This window comes from Homo sapiens, chromosome 11 (assembly GCF_000001405.40).
Source record: "Homo sapiens chromosome 11, GRCh38.p14 Primary Assembly".
Taxonomy (NCBI): domain Eukaryota; kingdom Metazoa; phylum Chordata; class Mammalia; order Primates; family Hominidae; genus Homo; species Homo sapiens.
In genome coordinates, this window is record NC_000011.10 from 48,864,617 (window position 1) to 48,875,437 (window position 10,821).

Consider the following 10,821-nt stretch of genomic DNA (forward strand, 5'->3'; position numbering starts at 1 on the left):
CTCCACATCCTCTCTAGCACCTGTTGTTTCCTGACTTTTTAATGATTGCCATTCTAACTGGTGCAAAATGGTATCTCATTGTGGTTTTGATTTCCATTTCTCCGATGGCCAGTGATGGTGAGCATTTTTTCATGTGTTTCTTGGCTGCATAAATGTCTTCTTTTGAGAAGTGTCTGTTCATGTCCTTTGCCCACTTTTTGATGGGGTTGTTTGTTTTATTCTTGTAAATTTGTTTGAGTTCATTGCCCAACAATGATAGACTGGATTAAGAAAATGTGGCACATATACACCATGGAATACTAGGCAGCCATAAAAAATGATGAGTTCATGTCCTTTGTAGGGACATGGATGGAATTGCAAATCTTCATTCTCAGTAAACTATTGCAAGAACAAAAAACCAAACCCCGCATATTCTCACTCATAGGTGGGAATTGATCAATGAGAACACATGGACACAGGAAGGGAAACATTACACTCTGGGGACTGTTGTGGGCTGGGGGGAGGGGAGAGGGATAGCACTGGGAGATATACCTAATGTTAGATGACGAGTTAGTGGGTGCAGCGCACCAGCATGGCACATGTATACATATGTAACTAACCTGCACACTGTGCAAATGTACCCTAAAACTTAAAGTATCATAATAAATAAATAAATAAATAAATAAATAAAAAGAAACACTCTTTTTGTAGAATCTGCAAGTCTATATTGGGACCGCTTTGAGGCTTTCATTGGAAACGGGAATATCTTGACAAAAAACTAGACAGAACCATTCTCAGAAACTCCTTTGTGATGTGTGCATTCAACTCACAGAGTTGAACCTTCCTTTTGATAGAGTACTTTTGAAACACTCTTTTTGTAGAATCTGCAAGTGGATATTTGGAGCACTTAGAGGCCTATGGTTGAAACGGGAATATCTTCACATAAAAAGTAGACAGAATTATTCTCAGAAACTTCTTTGTGATGTGTGCATTCAACTCACAGAGTTGAACCTTCCTTTTGATACAGAAGTTTTGAAACACTATTTTTGTAAAATCTGCAAGTGGATATTTGGACTGCATTGAGGCTTTCGTTGGAAACGGGAATATCTCTGCATAAAAACTAGACAGAAGCATTCTCAGGAAAGTCTTTGTTATGTGTGCATTAAACTCACAGTGTTGAACCTTCCTTTTGATAGAGCAGTTTTGAAACACTCTTTTGGTAGAATCTGCAAGTGGATATTTGGACTGCTTTGAGGCATTCAGTGGAAACGGGAATAACTTCACCTTAAAACTAGGCAGAAGCATTCTCGGAAACTTCTTTGTGATGTGCGCATTGAACTCACAGAGATGAACGTTCCTTTTGATAGAGCATTTTTGAAACTCTCTTTTTATAGAATCTGCAAATGGATATTGGGACCACTTTGCGGCCTAAGGTTGAAACGGTAGTATCTTCACATAAAAACCAGACAGAAGCATTCTCAGAAACTTCTTTGTGATGACTGAATTCAACTCACAGAGTTGAACATACCTTTTCATAGAGCAGTTTTGAAATACTCTTTTTGTAGAATCTGCAAGTGGATATTAGGACTGCTTTGAGGGTTTCTTTGGAAATGGGAATATCTTCACATAAAAACTAGACAGAAGCATTCTCAGGAACTTCGTTGTGATGTTTGCATTCAATTCACAGATTTGAACCTTCCTTTTCATAGCGCAGTTTTGAAACACTCTTTTTGTAGAATCTGCAATTGGATATTTAGACTGCTTTTAGGCCTTCGTTGCAAATAGGAATATCTTCACGTAAAATGTAGACAGAAGAATTCTCAGAAACTATTTTGTTATGTGTGCATTGAACTCACAGAGTTGAACCTTCCTTTTGATAGAGCAGTTTTGAAACAGTCTTTTTGTAGAATCTGCATGTGGATATTTGGACTACTCTGAGGTCTTTGTTGGAAACAGGAATATCTCCACATGAAAACTAGACAGAAGCATTCTCAGGAACTTCTTTGTTAAGTGAGCACTAAACTCATAGAATTGAACCTTCCTTATGATAGAGCAGTTTCGAAACACTCTTTTTGTAGAATCTGCAAGTGGACATTTGGACTGCTTTGAGGCCTTCATTGGAAACGGGAAAATCTTCACATTAAAACTGGACAGAAGCATTCTCAGAAACTTCTTTACGATGTGTGCATTCAACTCACAGAGTTGAACCTTCCTTTTGAGAGAGCAGTTTTGCAACACTCTTTTTGTAGAATCTGCAAGTGGATATTTGGAGTATTTTGAAGCCTACGGTTGAAACGGAAATATCTTCACATAAAAACTAGACAGAATCATTCTCAGAAACTCCTTTGTGGTGTGTGCATTCAACTCACAGAGTTGAAACTCCCTTTTGATAGAGCAGTTGTGAAACACTCTTTTTGTAGAATCTGCAAGTGGATATTTGGATTGATTTGAGGCTTTCATTGGAAACCGGAATATCTTCACTTAAAAACTAGACAGAATTATTCTCAGGAACTTCTTTGTCATGGTTGCATTCAATTCACAGAATTGAACCTTCCTTTTGATAGAGCAGTTTTGAAACATTCTTTTTGTAGTATCTGCAAGGGGATATTTGGAATGCTTTGAGGCCTTCTAGGAAACGGGAATATCTTCACATAAAATGTAAACAGAAGAATTCTCAGAAACTACTTTGTTATGGGTGCATTCAATTCACAGATTGGAACCTTCCTTTTGATAGAGCAGTTTTAAAACACTCTTTTTGTAGAGTCTGCAAGTGGATATTTGGACTGCTTTGAGGCCTTCCTTGGAAATGGGAATAACTTCACATAAAAACTAGACAGAAGCATTCACAGAAACTTCTTTGTTATGTGTGCATTCAACTCACAGAGTTGACCCTTCCTTTTAAAAGAGCAGTTTTGAAACACATTTTTTGTAGAATCTGCAAGTGGATATTTGGAGCACTTTGAGGCCTACTCTTGTAACGGGATTACCTTCACACAAAGACTAGAAGAAGCATTCTAAGAAACTACTTTGTGATGTGTGCATTCAACGCACAGAGTTGAACCTTTCTTTTGATAGAGCAGTTTTGAAACACTATTTTTGTAAAATCTGCAAGTGGATATTTGAAGCGCTTTGAGGCCTATGGTGGAAAACCAAATATCTCCATATAAAAACTAGACAGAAACATTCTCAGAATCTAATCTGTGATATGTGCATTCAACTCAGAGTTGACCTTTCCTTTTGATAGAGCAGTTTTGAAACACTCTTTTTGTAGAAAATGAAGTTGATATTTGGAGGGCTTTCAGGGCTATGGTGGAAAAGGAAGTATCCTCACATAAAAATTAGACAGAAGCATTCTCAGACACTTGTTTGTGATGATTCCATTCAGCTCACAGAGTTGAACATACCTTTTCATAGAGCTGTTTTGAAACAATCTTTTTGTACAATCTGCAAGTGGATATTGGGACCCCTTTGAGCCCTTCATTGAAAAAGGGAATGTCTTCACATGAAAACTAGAAAGAAGCATTCTCAGAAAGTTCTTTATGATGTGTGCATTCAACTCACAGAGTTGAACCTTCCTTTTGATAGAGCGCTATTGGAACACTCTTTTTGTAGAATCTACAAGTGGATATTTGGAGCATATTGAGGCCAACGGTTGAAACGGGAATATCTTCACATAAAAACTAGACAGAAGCATTCTCAGAAAATTCCTTGTATGTGTGCATTCAACTCACACAATTGAACCTTGATTTTGATAGAGCAGTTTTGAAGCATTCTTTTTGTAGAATCTGCAAGTGGATATTTGGAGCACTTTGAGGCCTATGGTTGAAACGGGAATATCTTCACATAAAAACTAGACAGATGCATTCTCAGAAACTTCTTTGTAATGTGTGCATTCAACTCACAGAGTTGAACCTTCCTTTTGATAGAGCAGTTTTGGAACACTCTTTTTGTAGAATCTGCAGGTGAATATTTGGAGCGCTTTCAGGCTTATGGTAGAAATGCAAATATCTTCATATAAAAACTAGACAGAAGCATTCTCAGAAACTACTTTGTGATGTGTGCATTCAACTCACAGAGTTGAATTTTTCTTTTGATAGAGTAGTTTTGAAACACTCTTTTTGTAGAATCTGCAAGTGGACATTTGGAGCGCTTTTAGGGCTATGATGGAAAAGGTAGTATATTCACATAAAAGCTAGACAGAAGCATTCTCTGGAAATTCCTTGTGATTATTGCATTCAACTCACAGAGTTGAACATATCTTTTCACAGAGCAGTTTTGAATCTCTCTTTTGTAGAATCTGCTAGTGGATATTGGGACTGCTTTGAGGCCTTCGTTGGAAACGGGAATATATTCACATAAAAACTAGACAGAACCATTCTCAGAAACTTCTTTGTGATGTGTGCATTCAGTTCACAGAGTTGAACGTACCTTTTCATAGAGCAGTTTTGAAACACTTTTTTTGTACAATCTACAAGTGGATATTTGGAGCACATTGAGGCCTATGGTGAAAAAGGAAATATCTTCACATAAAAACTAGACAGCAGCATTCTCAGAATCTTTTCTGTGATGTGTGCATTCACCTCACAGTTTTGAAACTTCCCTTTGATAGAGCAGTTTTGAAACACTCTTTTTAAAGAATCTGCAAGTGGATATTTTGACCGCTTTGAGGCCTAAGGTTGAAACGGGCATATATTCACATAAAAACTAGACAGAAGCATTCTCAGAAACATCTTTATGATGATTGCATTCAACTCACAGAGTTGAAGATATCTTTTCATAGAGTAGTTTTCAAAAACTCTTTTTGTAGAATCTGCTAGAGGATATTGGGACTGCTTTGGGGCCTTCTTTGGAAACGGGAATATCTTCACATGAAAACTAGAGAGAAGAATTCTCAGAAACTTCTTTGTGATGTGTGCATTCAAATCACAGAGTTGAACCTTCCTTTTGATTGAGCAGTTTTGAAACACTCTTTTTGTTGAATCTGCAAGTGAATATTTGGAGCACTTTGTGGACTACATTTGAAACGGGAATATCTTCACATAAAAATTAGACAGAAGCATTCTCACAAACTTCTTTCTTATGTGTGCATTCGACTAACGGAGTTGAAACTTTCTTTTGGTAGAGCAGTTTTGAAAGACTCTTTTTGTAGAATCTGCAAGTGGATATTAGGTCTGCTTTGAGGTGTTTGTTGGAAACGGGAATATCCTCACATAAAAAGTAGACAGAAGCATTCTCAGGAACTCCTTCGTATGTTTGCATTGAAATCACAGAGTTGAACCTTCCTTTCTATAAAGCAGTTTTGAAACACACTTTTTGTAGAACCTGCATGTTTATATTTGGACTGCTTTGAGGCCTTCGCTGGAAATGGGAATATCGTCACCTAAAAAGAAGACAGAAGCATTCTAAGAAACTTCTTTGTTACGTGTGCATTCAACTCACAGAGTTGAACCTTCCTTTTGATATAGAAGTATTGAAACTCTGTTTTTGCAGAACCTCCAAGTGCATATTTGGATGGCTTTGAGGCCTTCGTTGGAAACGGGAGTATCTTCACATAAAATCTAGACAGAAGAATTCTCAGAAACTTCTTTGTTATGTGGGCATTCACCTCACAGAGTTGAACCTTCCTTTTGATAGAGCAGTTTTGAAACACTCTTTTTATAGCATCTGCAAGTTGATATTAGGACTGCTTTGAGGCTTTCATTGGAATCGAGAATATCTTCATATAAAAAGTAGAGAGCAGCATTGCCAGAAACTTCTCTGTGATGATGGCATTCAACTTACAGAGTTGAACATACCTTTTCATAAATCAGTTTTGAAATACTCTTTTTGTAGCCTCTACAGTTGGATATTTGGAGAGCTTTGAGGCATGTGGTTGAAACGGGAATATCTCCACATAAAAACTAGACAGAATCGTTCTCAGAAATTTCTTTGCGATGATTGCATTCAACTCAGAGAGTTGAACATACCTTTTCATAGAACAGTTTTGAAACACTCTTTTTGTAGAATCTACAAGTGAATATTGCGACCGCTTTGAGGCCTTCATTGGAAACGGGAATATATTCACATAAAAGTGAGACAGAAGCAATCTCAGAAACTTCTTTGTGATGTGTACATTCAACTCACAGAGTTGAACCTTTTTTTTGATAGAGCAGTTTTGAAACACTCTTCTTGTAGTATCTGCAAGTGGATATTTGGACTGCTTCGAGGCCTTTGTTAGAAAAGGGATATCTTCACATAAGATCTAGACAGAAGCATACTCAGAAACATCCTTGTGATGTGTATATTCAACTCACCGAGTTGAACCTTCCTTTTAATAGAGCAGTTTTGAAACACTCTTTTTCTAGAATCTGCAAGTTGACATTTGGAGTGCTTTAAGGGCTATGCTGGAAAAGGAAGTATCTTCACATAAAAACTAGAAAGAAGCATTCCCAGAAACTTCTTTGTGATAATTGAATTCAACTCACGAAGTTGAACATTCCTTTTCATAGAGCAGTGTTGAAGCACCCTTTTTGTAGAATCTGCAAGTGGATATTTGGAGTGCTTTGAGGCCTTCATTGGAATCGGGAATATCTTCACATAAAAACTAGACAAAAGCATTCTCAGAAACTTCTTTGTGATGTGTGCATTCAACTCACAGAGTTGAATCTTCCTATTGATAGAGCAGATTTGAAACACTCTTTTTGTAGAATCTGCAAGTGGATATTTGCAGCACTATGAAGCCTACAGCTGAAACGGGAATATCTTCACATAAAAATTAGACAGAAGCATTCTCAGAAAGTTCTTTGTGATGCATGCATTCATGTCACAGAGTTGAACCTTACTTTTGATAGAGCAGTTTTGAAACACTCTTTTTGTAGAATCTCCAAGTGGATATTTGGACCGCTTTGAGGCCTATGGTTGAAAGGGGAATATCTTCACATAAAAACCAGAAAAAAGCATTCTCAGAAACTTCTTTGTGATGATTGCATTCAATTCAGATTGTTTAACATGCCTTTTCATAGAGTGGTTTTTAAACACTCTTTTTGTAGAATCTGCCAAAGGATATTAGGACTGCTTTGAGGCCTTCATTGGAAATCAGGATATCTTCACATAAAAACTAGACAGACGCATTCTCAGAAACTACTTTGTGATGTGTGCATTCAACTCACAGAGTTGAACGTTGCTTTTGATAGAGCAGTTTTGAAACACTCTTTTTGTAGAATCTGCATGTGGATATTTGGTGCATTTTGAGGCCTACGGATGAAACGGGAATATCTTCACATAAAATCTAGACAGAAGCATTCTCAGAAACTTCTTTGTGATGATAAAATTCAACTAACAGAGTTGAACATACCTTTCCAGAGAGCAGTTTTTAAACACTCTTTTTGTAGGATCTGCAAGTGGATATTTGTACCGCTTTGAGGCCTTTGTTGGAAATTGGAATATCTTCACATAAAAACTAGACAGAAGCATTCTCAGAAACTTCTTTGTGATGTGTGCATTCAACTCACAGGGCTGAACCTTCCTTTTGATCGATCAGGTTTGAAACACACTTTTTGTAGAATCTGCCAGTGGATATTTGGAGCACTTTGAGTCCTACGGTTGAAAAGGGAATATCTTCACATAAAAAATAGACTGAATCATTCTCAGAAACTCCTTTGTTATGTGTGCATTCAACTGACGGATTTGAACCCTTCTTTTGATAGAGCAGTTTTGAAACACTGTTTTTGTACAATCTGCAAGTGGATATTTGGATGCTTTGAGGCATTCATTAGAAACGGGAATATCTTCACATAAAAACTATACAGAAGCATTCTCAGAAACTTCTTTGTTATTTGTGCATTCAATTCACAAAATTAAAGTGTCCTTTTGAAAGAGCAGTTTGGAAACACACTTTTTGTAGAATCCTCAAGTGGGTATTTGCACTGCTTGGAGCCCCTCTTTGGAAACGGGAATATCTTCACATAAAAACTAGACAGAAGCATTCTCAGGAACTTCTTTGTTATGTGTGCATTCAATTCACAGAGTTGAACATTCCTTTTGATAGAACAGTTATGAAACACTCTTTTTGTAGAATGTGCAAGTGGATATTTGGACTGCTTTTAGGCCTTCGTAGGAAACGGGAATATCTTCCCATAAAAACTAGACAGAAGCATTCTCAGAAACTTCTTTGTGATGTGTGCATTCAACTCACAGAGTTGAACCTTCGTATTGATAGAGCAGTATTGAAACACTCTTTTTGTAGAATCTGCAAGTGGATATTTGGAGAGCTTTGAGTCCTACAGTGGAAACGGGAATATCTTCACATAAAAACTAGACAGAAGCATTCTCAGAAACTTCTTTGTGATGTGTGCATTCAACTCACAGAATTGAACCTTTCTTTTGATAGAGCAGTATTCACACACTCTTTTTGTAGAATCTGTAAGTGGATATTTGGACCGCTTTGAGGACTATGGTTGAAACTGGAATATCTTCACATAAAATCTAGACAGAAGCATTCTCAGAATCTTCCTTCTGATGTGTGCATTCAACTCACAGGGTTGAACCTTTCTTTTGTTAGAGCAATTCTGAAACACTGTTTTAGTAGGATCTGCAAGTGGACATTTGGAACCCTTTGAGGCCTACGGTGGAAAAGGAAATATCTTCACCTAAAAACTAGAGAGAAGCATTCTCAGAAACTTCTTTGTGATGTTTGCATTCAAGTCACAGAGTTGAACATACCTTTTCTTAAAGCAGTTTTGATAAACTGTTTTTGTAGAATCTGCAATTGGATATTTGGATTGCTTTGTGGCCTTCGTTGGAAACGGGAATATCTTCACATAAAAACTATATGAAGAATTCTCAGAAACTTCTTTGTAATGTGGGCATTCAACTGACAGAGTTGAACCTTCCTTTTGATAGAGCAGTTTTCAAACACTCTTTTTGCAGAATCTGCAAGTGGATATTTGGAGCGATGTGAGGCCTATGGTAGAAAAGGAAATATCTTCATATAAAAACTAGACAGAAGCATTCTCAGAAACTAGTTTGTGATGTGTGCATTCAACTAACAGAGATGAACCTTCCCTTTGATAGAGCATTTTTGAAACATTTGTTTTGTAGAATATGAGTGTGGATATTTGGTGCATTTTGAGGCCCACGGTTTAAATGGGAATATCTTCACATAAAAACTAGACAGAAGCATTCTCAGAAACTTCTTGTGAAGATTGCATTCAACTAACAGAGTTATACATACCTTTCCATAGAGCAGTTTTGAAACACTCTTTTTGTAGAATCTGCAAGTGGATATTTGGACCGCTTTGAGACCTTCTTTGGAAAGGAGAATATCTTCATTTAAAAATGAGACAGATGTATTCTCAGAAACTTCTTGTGATGTGTGCATTCATCTCACAGAGTTGAACCTTTCTTTTGATAGAGCAGTTTTGAAACACGCTTTTTGTAGACTCTGAAAGTGGATATTTAGAGCACGTTGAGTCCTACAGTTGAAACGGGAATATCTTCACATAAAAACTAGATAGAAGCATATTCAGTAACTTCATTTTTTGTGTGCATTCAACTCACAGAAGTCAACCTTTCTTTTGATAAAACAGTTTTGAAACACTCTTTTTGTAGAATCTGCTAGTAGATATTTGGACTGCTTTGAGGCCTTTGTTGGAAATGGGAATATCTGCACATAAAAACTACACAGAAGCATTCTCAGAAACTTCTTTTTATGTGTGCATTCAACTCACAGAGTTTAATTTTTCTTTTGATAGAGCAGTTTTGAAACACTCTTCTTCTAGAATCTGCAAGTTGACATTTGGAGTGCTCTGAGGACAATGGTGGAAAAGGAAGTATCTCCACATAAAAACTAGACAGAAGCATTCTCAGAAACTTCTTTGTTATGATTGCCTTCAACTCACAGAGTTGAACACACCTTTTCATAGAGCAGTTGTGAAACACCCTTTTTGTAGAATCTGCAAGTGGATATTGGGAACACTTTGAGACCTTCGTTGGAAATGGGACTATCTTCACATAAAATCTAGACAGAAGCATTCTCAGAATCTTCTTTGTGATGTGCACATTCAACTCACAGAGTTGAACCTTCCTTCTGATGGAGCAGTTTTGAAACACTCTTTTTGTAGAATCTGCAAATGGATATTTGGAGCGCTTTGAGGCCTAAGGTTGAAACAGGGATATCTTCACATAAAAACTAGACAGAACCAGTCTCAGGAACTTCTTTGTCATGTGTGCATTCAGCTGAAAGAGTTGACCTTTTGTTTTGATAGAGCAGTTTTGAAACACTCTTTTTGTAGAATCTGCAAGTGGATATTTGGACTGCTTTGAGGCCTGCATTGGAAACGGGAATATCTTCACATAAAAACTAGACAGAAGCATTCTCAGAAACTTCTTTGTGATGTGTGCATTCAACTCACAGAATTGAACAATCCTTTTGATAGGGCAGTTTTGAAACACTCTTTTTGTAGTATCTGCAAGTGGATATTGGGACCGCTTTGAGGCCTTCGTTGGAAACGGGAATATCTTCACATAAAAACTAGACAGAAGCATATTCAGAAACTTCTTTGTGATGTCTGCATTTTGCTCATTGAGTTGAACCTTCGTTTTGGTAGAGCAGTTTTGAAACACTCTTTTTGTAGAATCTGCAAGTGGATATTTGGAGAGCTTTGAGGCCTTCGTTGGAAACAGGAACATGTTCACATAAAAACTAGACAGAAGCATTCTCAGAAACTTCTTTGTGATGTGTGTATTGAAGTCACAGAGTTGAACCTTCCTTTTGATATAGCAGTTTTGAAACACTCTTTTTGTGGAATCTGCAAGTGGATATTTGTACTGCTTTGGTGCCTTCGTTGGAAACGGGAATACCTC

The 10,821-nt window shown here is 37.2% G+C and overlaps 1 annotated feature.

Moving 5' to 3' along the window:
- Positions 9,740-10,555: an enhancer, noted in NCBI's record as "OCT4 hESC enhancer chr11:48895908-48896723 (GRCh37/hg19 assembly coordinates)". NCBI's record gives its function as "activates a minimal SCP1, AML or CMV promoter by ChIP-STARR-seq in primed H9 embryonic stem cells {active_cell/tissue: H9 hESC(primed)}" and the evidence as "EXISTENCE:reporter gene assay evidence [ECO:0000049][PMID:30033119]".